Here is a 16,680-nt window from a genome sequence, read left to right as displayed (position 1 = left end):
CTGGACATTTATTTATCAGAAAAACACTTTATTTTATGTTTTATAACCAGGTTGTCACACCATTTTCCAATTCTAAAGCAATATCATAACTATCATAACTCATTCAACATTTATTTAACTACTGTATAATGAACAATTACTATGTACAGGACAGTGTACTACTAGGTGCTGAGTGTGATTCAAAGATGTCTGTAAATCATGGTCCCTACCCCCAAGACTTTACCATCTGAGGAAAAGGAAAAATAAAAATGCACAAATAAAATGACAACATGACAGCAGAACTTAAGTAGTATAGGGACTATCATTTCAAAAGCAGAAGTATGGTTTGGAAGATGAGGGGTGGCCTTTTTGGAAGAGTTAGCATGTGAGATGGATGAGTTACAGTGACCAGCAATTCAAGAGGAGGTTGGATTGGGAGAAGGGTAAAAAGAGAAAGCTCAATCTGTGATAGAAAAATGTTCATTCTATAGATTTTAAGAGGGAAAAAGACATAAATATTAGAGGTGAGGAAAGTAAGAAATATATTCAAGAAATTATAAGTAAAATAATTCAGCAGAAGCAGAATATTTATGAAAGAGATATGCCTAAAAGATAAGTAGAGGACAGCTTTGGCAGGATATTGAATGGCAAGCTAAAAAGCTTGAACAGTGTCCTTTAGAGCAGGCAGTCACTAAGCTATATTCATTTTTCCATATATGGGAGACTGTAGGACATTATGTAAACATAGATATTTAATTAGTAAGCAAAATGCATCAGCTCATTTCATAAGGGAACTTAAAAAACTGTTTATGTATTCCAATAGCAATCATTTTCAAATATTTACAGCAAATTCACAAGATAATTTAATGTTTTATTTTGCCCAACAGCTAGATGCTCCACTTAGAGGAATGCAAACAAATTGGAGCTGATTTAACCAGCACCTACTGTATAGCAGCTGAGAGAACTTCATAAAGCAAGTATTAGTTGTTTGTAGCACATTAAGACAACAACAACAACTCGACACATTTAACATAGGAGAGACAGAAGATAACTCTATTAAAGATAGATACATTAGCTCTGCAAACCTCAAACTCCAAACTTTTCATCTATTATAAAAATATGTTGAAGTTTATAATATTTTTCTGCTTCTCAGCTATAATTATATATGTTGAACTATAAATTCTCTCTTTACCAGAATAATGCTAATTGATTTTTACTGTTAAAAGATCTTCAAATGACAGCTCAATTATCAAAGTCATCAAAGAAAGTATATGTTGAACTTTTGGTGTTTTAGACATGAAGTCCTTGCCCATGCCTATGCCCTGAATGGTAATGCCTAGGTTTTCTTCCAGGGTTTTTATGGTTTTAGGTCTAAGGCTTAAGTCTTTAATCCATCTTGAATTGATTTTTGTATAAGGTGTAAGGAAGGGATCCAGTTTCAGCTTTCTATATATGGCTAGCCAGTTTTCCCAGCACCATTTATTAAATAGGGAATCCTTTCCCCATTGCTTGTTTTTCTCAGATTTGTCAAAGATCAGATAGTTGTAGATATGCGGCATTATTTCTGAGGGCTCTGTTCTGTTCCATTGATCTATATCTCTGTTTTGGTACCAGTACCATGCTGTTTTGGTTACTGTAGCCTTGTAGTATAGTTTGAAGTCAGGTAGTGTGATGCCTCCAGCTTTGTTCTTTTGGCTCAGGATTGACTTGGTGATGCGGGCTCTTTTTTGGTTCCATATGAACTTTAAAGTAGCTTTCTCCAATTCTGAGAAGAAAGTCATTGGTAGCTTGATGGGGAAGACATTGAATCTGTAAATTACCTTGGGCAGTAATGGCAACCAAAGCCAAAATTGACAAATGGGATCTAATTAAACTAAAGAGCTTCTGCACAGCAAAAGAAACTACCATCAGAGTGAACAGGCAACCTACAAAATGGGAGAAAATTTTCGCAACCTACTCATCTGAAAAGGGCTAATATCCAGAATCTACAATGAACTCAAACAAATTTACAAGAAAAAAACAAACACCCCCATCAAAAAGTGGGCAAAGGACATGAACAGACACTTCTCAAAAGAAGACATTTATGCTGCCAAAAAACACATGAAAAAATGCTCACCATCACTGGCCATCAGAGAAATGCAAATCAAAACCACAATGAGATACCATCTCACACCAGTTAGAATGGCGATCATTAAAAAGTCAGGAAACAACAGGTGCTGGAGAGGATTTGGAGAAATAGGAACACTTTTACACTGTTGGTGGGACTGTAAACTAGTTCAACCATTGTGGAAGTCAGTGTGGCGATTCTTCAGGGATCTAGAACTAGAAATACCATTTGACCCAGCCATCCCATTACTGGGTATATACCCAAAGGACTATAAATCATGCTGCTATAAAGACACACGCACACATATGTTTATTGTGGCATAATTCACAATAGCAAAGACTTGGAACCAACCCAAATGTCCAACAATGATAGACTGGATTAAGAAAATGTGGCACATATACACCACAGAATACTATGCAGCCATAAAAAATGATGAGTTCATGTCCTTTGTAGGGACATGGATGAAACTGGAAACCATCATTCTCAGCAAACTATCGCAAGAACAAAAAAACAAACACCGCATATTCTCACTCATAGGTGGAAATTGAACAATGAGAACACATGGCCACAGGAAGAGGAACATCACACTCTGGGTACTGTTGTGGGGTGGGGGGACAGGGGTGGGATAGCATTGGGAGATATACTTAATGCTAGATGACGAGTTAGTGGGTACAGCACACCAGCATGGCACATGTATACGTATGTAACAAACCTGCACATTGTGCACATGTACCCTACAACTTAAAGTATAATAATAATAAATAAAAAAAGAAAAAAGTATATGTTGAACTTAATGTAGCTTTATTGGTTAGTGTCTTCTTGTATGTTTATTCAACAAATAGTGACCTAGATATTCTATGTCACATAGGTTTTTTAATATTTTTGAGTGCCCATGCATATACCAGCCTTTGTGCTAGGCCTTTTGAAGAAATAAAATTATGCATGAGATGTGGTCCTAGTATTTCAAAGGCTTGTATTCTACTACAGATGATTAACACATACATATAGAAGTAAAATTATAGGCAGGTTTGAAATAGAGGTGTAAGATTGAATTAGGTTAGGATTTTTCAACAGCAACACTACTGACATTTTGAATCAGATACTTCTTAGTGGTGGAGAGCCATCGTATATATTGTGGAATATTTAGCAGCATCTCTGACCTCTATCCATTAGATGCCAATAGCATCTGCCCAGTTGTGACAACCAAAACTGTCTCCAGACATTGCCAAATGTCCCCTGGGAGCTGAGTGCAAAATCACATGCAGTATTGAGTCACAAGATTAGATGGAAAGTCCTATATACATTTTGTTAATGAGAACAATTTCCATTTGAGGAATCAAGGGAAGTCCATAAAGGTATGAGGACTAATATGAATAGGTTGAGAAGAGGAGAGCATTTCAAGAACAGAGAAGGTGGCTAAACTCCAGATGGGGAGACAAATTAATAAGTTTAAATTATGTTCAGGAGTCATAGAATTCAATGTTTTAGAGGTGATTAGTAAATAAAACCTGATACAGTAAATAGAAATCAAATTATGGAGGTTCTTGAAAGTAAAGTAAAGAGGATGTTTCTCATTTTGCAGATGTCATTTGAACATGTAAATGAAATGAATAAAGCATCATTTTCAAAATGTTATAATGGCAGTTCTGGGAAGAATGATTTGACCATACAAAAAAGTTCATTTTAGGTGTGGGATTCCATTAAAAACATAATTTGAAAGAAACTACGGAATATTGTGGAATATGTATTTCCCAGCATAGGATAAGAAAGGAAGACAAGTGAAAAAGTTAACTCTATAATTTTCTTCTATGTTTGATCTTGGAAATTGTTGTTGAGCTTGATTTCTTGTAATACAGTTGATACCTGATGCTAGACCTGTTTGGGAGATGTACTCAGATTCTCTGCGACTCCATAAAGTGAAAAGTTGTAACTGATGAATTAGAATGGTAAAGGAAAAGATGATATCATTCTCAATAATAAATCTCCAGTGACCTAGAAACTATGAATATAGGCTTTTTAATAATGATTTTTATTTAACAAGTTTTGAAAGTTTGTTTGTGTGATGGGAACCTCAACATGGATAGTAGGTATGTAAAGAACACCTTTTCTGTTCCAGGCCTTGAGATTTAAGTTGAATTATCTTGTTGAAGAAAAATAATTATTAAAAAGCCTAGATTTAGTCATTCATTTCAGTTTATCTTCATTTCCCCCTTTGCAACATGAAACATTAGGGCAGGACAAAATTCAATTTCAGGTGATATGCAACCATAATACTAGAACCCCTGAGAAGCCCCTAAATGTGCACTTAAGTAAATTTACACTTGGTCAGTAACCATACTGTTCATTCCCTCTAAAAAGATGTATTATCCCTTTGAACACTAAATCCTTTCATTTGCAGACATTACGGTTTTAAAATTAGGGAGAAAAAGAAGCAACTGACAGAGACAGACCAGTCATCACTTCCCTTTTATCTTCACGTCTTCTCCCATTCTTGCCCAAGTCATTCTGACTTGGATATGAGAAAAGGGCATTTTCTGAAATCATAGAGACCTTCTATTCTTTGTTTACCAATGGGCTGGTATACTTATTTTAGAAATTCTTAAACTGCATTTTTAAAATGATGACTACATTTAGTTGTCATCAAAAAATTAAAACATACTTTTTGAAAAATGCTGATGCAATGAAGTAATGAGATTAATTGGATAGTAAGAAATGAAAACCTAGGAAAATTGATGGAGAAAATTTCATCTCAAGCACAGGAATTTTGATTTTGTTAAAAAAAGAAAACTAGTTTCATAAGCAAGAAATTACCCATGTTGGAAAATTACAAGAAAGCTTCTTTTTTTGGCAGTTAGCTATAAAATAGATAATAATTGGAAGGAACTTAAATAAAGTGAGACAAGTTAAGAGGCTGCTGCAATAAGCCAGATGTTGTTCATTTATCAAAAGCAATTTTTAAGTATCCACAGTATTAATGACACTTTATTAGATACAAATTAATGCTTACTTGAACTAGGGCAGTGACTACAGAAATGGAAATTATCCTATTGAATATTAATACACTGATTAAATCAACTCTGAGCCCATTTTTTCTTGAGACCTTTATGCCTACGTTTACAGATTTTACATATTTGAAACTGCTCTGCAGTTTGTAGATGCTTTCCTAAAATAAATTGAATCAAAAATCATGGGGAGAATTTAGCTAATAGTTACAGATCAACTGTTTGTCAGTCTCTACCAAGATGGCAATTTTCGGAGTTAAACAACACCAGTGTCTATTAGGACAGGGAAAGACAATGGAGAGCAATGCAACACCACAGGTTTCATCAAAGGCTCTATTTTTGTCAGTCACCAGAGAATTGAAATCCATCCCAGTCCAGTAAGAATGCTTTTAGTGAGTTGTGAGCATGTTCATTAAAAGAAATGAATGAAACCAAATGGCTACCATTATTGATTATTTCTGTCCTTGTGGCTTTAGACTGGAAGTGGTTTCCAAGGGTCCCAAAAGCCATTTCCAACTTTTTTTTTTTTAATTTGATCTGCAGCATTGTGGACACAAGTCATTCTAGCCACATCTGATCTGTCTGACCCGGCCACTGGGAGTGATTGTTGACAAATAAAGGAACTGCATTTGAAAGCCTTTTTAAATCCTTCTATATAATTTTAAGTTTATATTGAACTAAATAAAAAACAAAAACAATTTTAGTCCCAACTCTGACTTAGACTTAAAGCATACGTAGCTCAGTGTGAAATCTAAAAATGTGGTTAATAAATGACGTCTCTGCCATTGTCCCAGTTTATCAACATAATGTTCACCACTTAGAATTTTTAAAGTAATATTAATTACAGTATTAATTACAATGGCATGCTATTTTGGTACTTTATAAAACTTAAATGATACAAATGAGTATTATGTAAGTCCTTTTTGAGAGGACTTCTGGAAGATATAAACATCAGTGAACATATGGAACTATTTTCAACACTTGAGTAATATAAAGGTATCTCAATCTATATATTAATATATACTCTTTTAATAAAGAATTGCCCTTGGGCTCCAGTGTTTGTTTGCTCATTCTTATATTTGGCAAACATGTGTGGATACATCTATTATGTGTTAAGTGCAGTACAAGGGACTGGGCACATGAGGATGTGCAAGACAGAGTTCCCCATTTTTAAGGAGTTGATGTTCTCATAAAGGAGAAAAAATTAAAATGGCACATGCAGAAAAATAGAAAAAGTGCTACTGTAGATATGAGCACTTAGGAGAATACCTAAGCCAGATTGCAGATTTTGTATTTTAATGTTGTTTTTTCTTTTTCCAGTATATTTAAAATTCTGACAATAATCTTAGAAATTACCTATAAAAGTGGCAGTGTGAACATGTGGCATCTGTAAATTGTTCAATATCCTCACAGTGTGTAAAGGGTCTGTAGGGATCTATAGCAACAATTATTTTTAAAATAAGTTCATCAAATACTTCCCATATTTTGACATTCTTATGAGATCTTTTGAAGCCCTCCACATTTCATATTTCGAGAGTATCTTTCTCAGTCAAAATTATTGTATTTTCCCCCCCTGTTTCTCTATTTTTCTCTAAACAAGTAAGTTTGGAAACAGTTCTTTTATTTGGCTGGTAAATACAATTTATCTGCTTTTGGAAGAAAAATAAGAAACACTAAATTACCTGTGGTGCATTTTCTGCTTCTGTAAATGGGTCACACTTTGTCAAATTCTGAATATAGTAAGCCTTTGTGGAGTTCTGTTTTTCTCAAATACTAGGTTGCTGCACTGGATATCAAAGGGTAATTTATTTTGTTATAAGTAGGCTTTTACTCAGTTCTTTTTTTAACCTCAAAACATGAATACTTCAAAAGAGGTAACTGAGAGATAAATTAGAATTTTTAAGCAAAGAGAATATTAATTTTCATTTATATTTGTGTAATTGCACACTGCCCTTCATGTATGGGAAAACTATTATTGTGACCTGAGATCTGTGGGATATCTGCTTTGTTAATTTTCGTGTGGCAGCGATGAATTTGAGGTGAACCACCCCTGAGAAAATGTGCAGTGACCCTGCCAGAAGAAGTAGCTTCAACCAACAGAGCAATGAAAATTAACCATCTTCATAGGGATTGACCTAAAGCATAGGCAACAACAGAATTACATATAAACAAAAGTAGAAAATACATGCAATCAAGAATATGCCATTCACAATCAATTGCCTGAAAGTTTTAAATTTCATATGAACTTTTACTTTTTGATTTCTAAATTATTTTTCAAAATTGTTTATGCTTTAATCTTATTTGTTAGGATGAACTAACGTATTCTACTAAATTTCTCAACCAAGATAATAAAATATGATCTGTGCACATTCTAATTCATGAAGTATTTTTATTCTAGTAAAACGCCTAGTACAATGCATGAAGTATAAAGTCTCCTTAAGTGTTTTCTTCCTCCTTTACTGCACTGATATTTATCATGATAAATTATTTGAGTTTACTAGATTCTCATACTAGGACTTTCTTCTAAAGTATCACATATCACTTTCTTCTAAAGATCATTTGGTATCCAAATAACATTTAGGTATATCAAAATTTATTTTGACTACAAGTTTCTATTGGCCATACTCATAATACTTGGTGCCAATCCTTTCACATAGTCCTATCTTCTTTTAAGAAATTTTCATAATGATGAAAAAACAGTAGCAGAAGCAATGTTAAACAAAAGGATAAAGGGCATGTAAGTGGACACTAGTACCTTCATCTAGAAACCAACTTTTACCTTGTTCTCTGTTTATGTTTATTCTCATGTCCCTTTCAAAATCTATATTTACATCACAAAAGAGTTTCACAGATAGTCTTTGAACCAGTTATCAGTTGGATGCTCTTGCGGATTGATTTATAGTTTTCTTCTCTCCTCTAGTTTTGATGAAATGACCATTCCTAAGGAAAAGCCACTGGAGACAAACTCAGAATCCAGACTCACATTCAGACGATTTGTGTTTTCCCCATAACCACCGTCCTAGATTCAGGTTTCCATTGCCCTACACTCAAGTTGTTTAACAAAATAACTAACTTACGTCTCCATTTCCAATCCCCTTTCCATCTGATTGATCTATGGACACAAAGCTTTAGAAGGATTTCTGCCATATTGTTGCTCCCAGCTTAAAAATTTAAATGATCTCCTATTTCTATCAAGTCAGAATTCTCTGGTTGACATTCAAGACACAATACCAACTCATCTCTGAACACCACTGCTATAATTACTTGTCGCAATTCAACAGATAGCCCTTTACACAAACACTCACAAAGACATATTTGATATTTAGACTTAATTCAGCCACTACTTCCTTGAAAATATTTTCTAACCCTTCCCCCTTGCTCCTGAAGTGGGTTAGGTATGCCTCTCCCAAAGTACCTCCAGCAAACTTACCACCAGAAAATGTAACACACTGTATTGTCTTTTTTTTTTTTTTTTTTTTTTTTTTTTTTTTGGCTTATTCGTCTGTGTCCCCTGTAAAGATATAAGTTTCCTTAGGGCAGAAGGAAACTATTTGTCTTTATAGCTCCAATATCTAACATTATATTAGCATGTAAGCAGTGCTCATAAACTGTTTGTTTAAAATGATGGCACGTCCTGAATAAGTCTCGTGTTGCTGATCCTGATGCCAAAAACTTAGTGATATGTCTCTTCTAGTAAATGGCTGCCTTTCCCTCTTATCTTTCTTTATGTTTCTTCCCACTTCCAAAATTTGGATCAAATTTAACTTCCTTGGAAAAGATCAGGTATTCTTCAAAGAAAGACGAAGTGTTACTTGAGAACCCAAGCTGAGACAAAGCAATTTGTTTCCAAAGCAATCCTGCCTCTCACTGAAGAGTCTAAAAAACCACAGAATACAAAGAGACAAATAGCGTATGCAGAATCGTGATATAAGAGTTCACTATTCAACTCAGCACTAAAAATATACACCAAACTCCAAAATGTCATCTTTGGGACAGTTTATGTCCCCCATGTTTAGAGCCCAAGCTCCCCTCCCTTGCAATGTGATGAAATCTTTCCCCTGTTCAATACTCTTGCCACTGTTTCCAGGCCACTCTCTTCTCTGGCTCAATGTCTGAGGACTCCTAGGAAACCTCACTTTTTTGGTAGCTATTCTACACTTCCTTGTTTCAGGCATCATTTGGGAATTTCTGTTCTGTAAGCATACAACTCACCATTGCCATAACAATGCTTGATTGCATATGAGACATTTCCTAGGCAGCCTTTCTGAATCCATGTATGTCTGGTTTGGTTGCAGATACTTTCCTCCAAATACAATCCTGTTCACCATGGAAGACATTAAAACCTTCAGTGGTTGCTGCTGGGGGCCTTCACCAAAATGCAGCCATTCACCTTGCTGCTGGGGGCCTTCACCAAAATGCAGCCATTCACCTTTGCTTTTGCTCTACCTACAAAAAATGTTCATTGGCTCACTCCCGAGGTCAACTTTGATTCAAAGATAGTCTTCAGTTACCAAACCTTATCACATGACTGTAAAACTAGATAATAAACAAGTGTTTAAAATATGTACTTTTTTGTATTTCTTTCTACTAGTCTCATTTCTCTTTAGCTCAATATAAAGCTTAACTAACTCAAGAGGCAAGAATAAGATAGTAAAAATAATTGAACTTTTCAGTCACCATGTCATTTTATAGACTATTATATCAGCACATAGTTTTGCTATCCCTTTGAATTGATAGAAATTAATTTAAAGATTTCCTACTGGACATTTTAAAATGCGTATTGACCCACAAACCTGTAAATGGTTGAAAGTACTATTTGAGAGAAATCATTAGCTCAGGTGTAGGAATATAGAAGAACTACAAGATTATATTTGACAAAGCAAGATCTGAAAAAATGTATTTTCATTGACAGTAAGTAAAAATAATGTGGACTCTTACAAAGAAATTTGAAATTTATCAGAGAAAGCTTTGCAGAAAAGTAAATTTTCACTATTCACTTCATCTTTATTTTCAAACACATTCATCTCTATTCACAGATTAGGTGTTCTACACTTTAAAATTCAGCTTTATAACGTTATAGTTTTTCAATAGTATTATTATTGATCAGTCAGGTTCAGAATGTATAAACCTCTTTAAAGCAAATATAGACCTAATGCTGCAGAGCCCATTTGCCCAAAAAGCTTAGTGAATTCCCTGCAGTCACTTATAGGACTTTATCTTTCTTTAAAAAGTTGTGTTTTCTCAAACCAGGGCCATTTCTGCACAAGGTATGTCTCTTTCTATTAAGTGAATGCTGAATCGTGTATCTTTTTTGACTAGCGAGACTGAAGTCTTATTTTCTCTTTACCAGAAAATGAAAAAATTGAATGCTAATATTTCGTCTTCAGTTATATATGGGCATATGGTAGTGTAAGAATATATGCCAAATTATAGATGCAAAGCTGCCTGAAAATGTTATATTGCTTAAATGATGTTTGGGACATGATTCTTTCTCTGTTGAGAAAGAGAGGGGGTCACCTTATTATACTTAAAGGTGCAATTTTGCTTGGTTCTATGGTGGGAGAAGTGAACCTTTATTATCTGGGTATTCAAGTAAGAAAAGTTTAGATTAGAGCAAGTAAGCGAAAAATCACACATGCCCTAATGAAGAACAGCAAATGAATATCAGCAAATGAATTTCTCTGTAATTGTGGCTATCAGCAGGACAATATGGACAATGCTATCTCTACAATTTCAAGGACATTTAAATTATTGGGTTGATTAGAATATATTAAGAATTAGTAGCTAAAATATTTTTCTCACCTTCATTGTTTTTACAGATCAGACTTGACTGTACTAATTAGACAGTCAATAGAGAAACTATTACAGCAAAACTGAAAAACGTATGCATCTATTACATATGTCCTTGAGATCACAAAAAGTTATATTTGCCTGTTTTCATAAGTCCATGGTATAGTTTTACAAAATAACCTGCAATAATAGAAAATAACCCAAATCCTGTGTGGTTTAGACTAGTAGCCAATTGATAACCACATACAACACAACACATACAGTATGGAAGTATGCATACAATAAGTGCTACAAAAATTCAGAAGTGAGAGCTATCCCTAAGGAATGGAGAACTGTAAAAAGACACACAGCAGAGATGGAACTTAGTACAAAGGGAGACAGAGCCTTTTTGACAGGCACTGTTTGGTCAGTGGAGAGGGGATGGATCCATAGTGTTTGAGAGTAAGCAAAGTAATGAGTAAAGTAATTGGTTTGGAACACAGGATTCATTTACAGAAGGAAGAGAAGATAAGGTTGAAGAGGTACGTAGGAGACAATTGCAGGTTCCCCTGCAGCTGCGGAGTTTGGACAACAGGGAGACATTTATTCAACATATACATGTGTGCCTGCTACTTGAGAGATGTTGCAGTGGGTACTAGCTAGACATCTCTGAAAAAGATATTTGAGTTTGAAGAGAGTGTGAGGAAGATGAACTTCACTGGGAAATACAGAATAGATTACCGTGAAGATAAGCCAGTTTAAGTAGTATTGAAACAGCCCAGGTTGAAAAAAAAAAAAAAAAAAAAAAAAAAAAAAAGGCTACACATGTACCAGTGGACATGAACTGAAGCCAAAGCACATAAGAGGTTTATGGGAAGAAATTAGACTGCATGGCTGACAATGTGGGAAGAGAAACAAAGTTCAGCAGGTAAGCTTGTTGGCTCTGGGAAAGGATTATGCTTCAGGATCTAAAGAATATGCAATGCAGTTCAGATACTAACAAACCAAGTTAGGTCAAATTACACAGGTTAAGGGCACAGACCCCACAAGACTACCCTCACTTGAGACTCCAGTCACAAGGTCTAGAGTTCCCAGGCCACCCATACTTGGGACCAACCGGCTATGTTTTTTGAGGTTCTCACTAACCCCTCAGGTTTGAAAATTCACTAGAACAACTTACAGAGTTCAAGAAATTATATTAATACTTCAGAAAATTCAGAATTACGGTTTTGTTAGAAGAGATGAAAATCAAGACCAACCAAATAAAGAAATGCATAGGGCAAGATCTGAGAGGCTTCCAAACATGAATCATCCATGTCCCCAGAATGCATCAACCACTTGGCACATCAATGTGTATCACCAACCAGAAAACTGAACTGAGCTTCATTGTATTGAGTTTTTATTGGGGCTTCATTATATAGGCATGACTGATTGATTCATTGGCCATAAAGTTGAACTCAAAATTCAGCCTCCTTCTTCTTCTAAGCCAGAAGTCAGGCCAAGATCACATGGCTCAAAGCCCCAACCCTGTAATCACATGATAGGACTTTCTGGCATGGCCAGCCCCAATCTGTACTCATCTAATCAGCATAAACTATCTAGAGGTTCTCCATGAATCATCTCATTAGCATAAACTCAGGTGTTTATGCTAATAAACCATAAATAACAAACACTCCTATCACGTGGGAAATCCAAGGGTTTGGAGGCTTCCACCCAAGGACCAAAGACAAAAACCAGCCAAATTCTTTTTTTTTTTTTTTTTTTTTTTTTTTTTTGAGACGGAGTCTCGCTCTGTCGCCCAGGCTGGAGTGCAGTGGCGCGATCTCGGCTCACTGCAAGCTCCGCCTCCCAGGTTCACGCCATTCTCCTGCCTCAGCCTCCCGAGTAGCTGGGACTACAGGCGCCCGCTACCACGCCCGGCTAATTTTTTGTATTTTTAGTAGAGACGGGGTTTCACCGTGTTAGCCAGGATGGTCTCGATCTCCTGACCTCGTGATCCTCCCGCCTCGGCCTCCCAAAGTGCTGGGATTACAGGCGTGAGCCACCGCGCCCGGCCCCAGCCAAATTCTTTACTACACAACAGAATGAATTTGAGGTAACTCTTAGCTCTTTCAGGTGGAAACTCCAGCAGGCAGATGAAACTCCAAAAAAAAAACTGAAGAGAGAGAGAAATGAAGACTAGAGATGTGGCTTCAGCCACAAAGTAAAAGGTCACATGATATATAATTCATTTTTCATAGCTACTCAGCAAGTGCTGCAGTTGAGGGCAGAGTCCTTGACAAGACAGTATGCATAGGAAAAGCCACCCGAACATAGACAGCATATTTTTCTAAATAAATCAACTTTTAGCCTGACACTAACTTCATCTTGAATAGAAATAACTCTTTTTGCATCTCCTTTCTTAACCAAATGTCTAGAATATATATCTTTTATGAGCAGATAAATCTCTAAAAAAAGAGTGATTTCAAAAAATACATAAGTCCAAAGTTAACATAGCAGTGACTTAAATACTTCTTTCTTGTTAGACAAATGCAAAAGTAATGAGGTCAAAAATATTAATGCTCACTGTATTTTCTGCATTGCATACCAGTGGAAACTTAGCTGTAATTACCCTATTTGGCATGTTCTCATTTTAATTCAATGTCACAGAATACTGCAGTTTTCAGCTAAGAAACAACAGAAGACCAACCAGCCTACCCTCTGTACCTGCAACAATACTCACATGTATCTACCTCTGAAGAGGATTTTATGCAAATTAAAAATATGGTTTTTTATCTTTTTCTGCAACAGTCGCACAATTAAAAACTATATAAAATATATATTGCTATTTAGGCTATTTATTGTTCAACCTTTGAATGATCAGAGCTGGATTCCAGAAGGAATATGACTTCCTTTAAAGTATGTCTATAAGTAGAAGAGGAATATACTGTATGACAAATTATAATACACTATATTGGAATTTTGCTTCTCTATACTTCATTAATAGATTATGGACATGTGGCAAATATAGATGAACATGTCTGTTATTTCAAATTAATAAATGCAATATTATATCCATTTGCTCACATAATCAAAATGTATATGCATGCAAATTATTCACAATTCCATGGTTAGGAGTTATTAGAAAGTTGTTTAAGAAATAAACCATTTCTATCACATATTAGAGTGCTTAGTTTTAATCACAATGAGAACTTTCATAGGCTTATCTGATGTGCCCGTTTGAATCCTGTGAAAAGCAGATTCCAAGACGGAATTAGATGTGTAAGTGATTACTGGGAGAAATAACTGCAGAGAATAAAAAAGAGGAGCAGGAGCAGGAAAAGCCTCCAGTTTCTGATGCAAGTCTGACATCTGTGAAAACAGAGAAGAAAAGAGGAGAGCTTGGGTAGGGTGAACAGTACAATCCGAAAGCAAAGATGGGCTCTCAGCTTAGTGCTGTGTCAGGCAGGAATTGCCTGGCCCTAGTCGCTCTGCTGTCCTCAGGCTATTCCTGGGCTAGGGACAGCCCAGGAAGAGCATGAACTTTACATGAACACTGTGATGCATCCAAAAATGTAGCAACTAGAAGCTATTTGCCAACTATTCTTGCATCAGATTCTCTTGAAGGAGATATCTGCGTGGTACACTTCCATGGCCACCACAGTCCATCTCGAATGCCTCAGAGTCTCTGCACACATTTTCAGGAAGTATTCCCTCATTCCTGTGGGCCACTCTCCCTGAGAGAAATTCTAAAAGAGGAAAGTTAGGAAGACAAATTACAACCCCATCTCTGTAGTTAGTCCCAGAGGTCCTGCTCGTTTACCTGGTGACATGACCTGGATACTCATTCCTGATAGGTCAGCCTGAGGTAATCATACTTTTCTCAAACTAGGAGTGCTGCACATGTCAATTAACCATTAAAATTGAACAAGAGAATCCCACAAGGCATCAAAGTAGATCACCTGGATTCCACACGCATACCTCTCTCCCCTTACGGTAAAAGCAAACACCTCATTTGGGAGATCAGGTTCAATTTCTCCTGCCAGGATGATGACTTCTCTCCTGCTGTCTTCTGGATACAAAGTTTAACACTCCCAGGAGCAGCTCTATCTTGTAGTTTAACAGAATCTCTGCTGTTTTCCTTGGCAAGAGTTTGCCCCTTTTGCAGACTAGGACCTCCAAGTGGGTCATTAGAACTAATGGCAGATGGTTAGGGTGCCATTTTTTCTCCAGCCCTTGGTTCTTGGGTCCATATAGCCTTCCTATTTAGACCTCTGACTTAGCGTATATATCGTGTCCCAAAGTATACCAACCCACCCTTGTCCAGCATTGCCATCAAGGTGTCACTCCAGCGGTGCCATAGAAGTGCCTTCCAGCATTATGGGACACCAGCTGCCTCTGGGTGTTGTGGTATGTGATTCAATCAGTAGCCCAATTTTGTACCATACTTGTAATGAAGTAGTTCCTCTTGTTGGATGTTATGTTACAGATTCCATGTCTGTGGATCAACATTTTAGTAGGCAAATGGTGCGGACTTAAGTCTGTGGAAAGAAAACTCAAAGCCATAAGTATTACCCCTACTCGTAATAAAAGTATTTCTATCCCTGTGAGGGTGATCTCCTGGTTCTTCTAGAAAGGAACAACACCAATGTACTTGAATTGTCAACAAGTGTCCACTTGGTGTTTGTTGTTGGAAGGTTGACCATTCAGAGGTGCCAATAGCTGGATAAGCCTTGGTTAAGTGGCCACAGAGCCAGTGTATAGCCACATCTAGGCCACTGTGGCTAGGCTGTTCATCTGCCCATCATGCCATCTCTGGAGGGTCAATGAAAAAGGCTTTCTGAAGTCACTGGACAAATCGTTTTGTCTGCTTGGTTATTCAGGACTTCTGCTGTAGTAGGAAATTTCTTGGCATTGACATATGATACAAAATTCTTCAAACTTTGTATCCTCTCCCATATGTCTTTCTGCTACTTCTACCCCAGACCTCCTTGTCTTTAATGTTCTAAACTTTTTCTTTTCCAGTGTTAGGCCATTGGCTTCTAGCCAAGAATTTGTATATGTTTTCACCTCATGACACTCTTCCTCTCCTACAAAGTAGATAACCAGGTGACTAACTTGCAGCTCTACCCATTAGGAAAAGTTTCTCTCTCCACTGTGTTTTAAAGCCATCCCTGAATGTGACTGTAATGCAACCACTACCAATTTTCAGTTCACTCCCACATATCAAACTGACCTATTCATAAGCTAGACAGGCTATTTTCCCTTCTTCAGTCGGTCATAGGGGACAAACTCTATCAGGCCATGTGTGCAAGCTGGAGCACAGGCACTGAAGCAATTGTGGTGGGTAACATGAACCCTAAAAGGGCTACCTGCTTATGTTTCATACTCCTGCCCTCTTATTCTGCTCAGGCTTAATCAATGATGTATTATTTCCATCTTAAAATAAATGGAATGCTAATGGACCCATTCAACTTTATGATTTCTGGGTCCAACAGAATCCAGTTTCTAATAAGTAATACTGAGTGGAAGGCTGCCTATTACTCCATGGACAACAGTATGTCTCTATCAGGGCTCAGCAACACAGCAGGAGCTGTTTCTCAGAAGGCATATATTATTCTGCCACAGATGGCTCCAGAACTCCAGAGACCTGTGTTATAATGTTCCCACTAAGGCTTATAAATACCATACTGCATACTTACCCACCACTGACATTTCCAACACTGTAGGATTTGCCACAGAACTGGAGGAACCTTTACAGTCTGTTCTTGCTGCATTGTTACAGCATCCTTCCTCCTGGAACCCATATCTCTTATTCAATAGGCATTATACCAGAAAATATGT

General features: G+C 36.6%; 1 protein-coding gene across 4 annotated transcripts in view; it reads left to right on the top strand.

Annotated features, from left to right (window-relative positions):
* Window positions 1-16,680, top strand: part of KHDRBS2 (KH RNA binding domain containing, signal transduction associated 2) — a 743,556-nt gene that overhangs the window by 646,341 nt on the left and 80,535 nt on the right. For 3 of the 4 annotated variants that reach the window (NR_146873.3, NR_146874.3, NR_146871.3), the window contains one exon: window positions 9,384-9,651. The exons of the other annotated variant lie outside the window; for it this stretch is intronic. The gene's annotated coding sequence lies outside the window, so the exon portion shown is untranslated. Of the gene's footprint in view, window positions 1-9,383; window positions 9,652-16,680 lie in introns of those variants that run through there. 4 annotated transcript variants of the gene reach the window in all.

Source organism: Homo sapiens, chromosome 6 (assembly GCF_000001405.40).
Source record: "Homo sapiens chromosome 6, GRCh38.p14 Primary Assembly".
NCBI lineage: Eukaryota > Metazoa > Chordata > Mammalia > Primates > Hominidae > Homo > Homo sapiens.
Note: the sequence above shows the minus strand (reverse complement) of the source record. Positions and strands in the feature narration are given on the sequence as shown.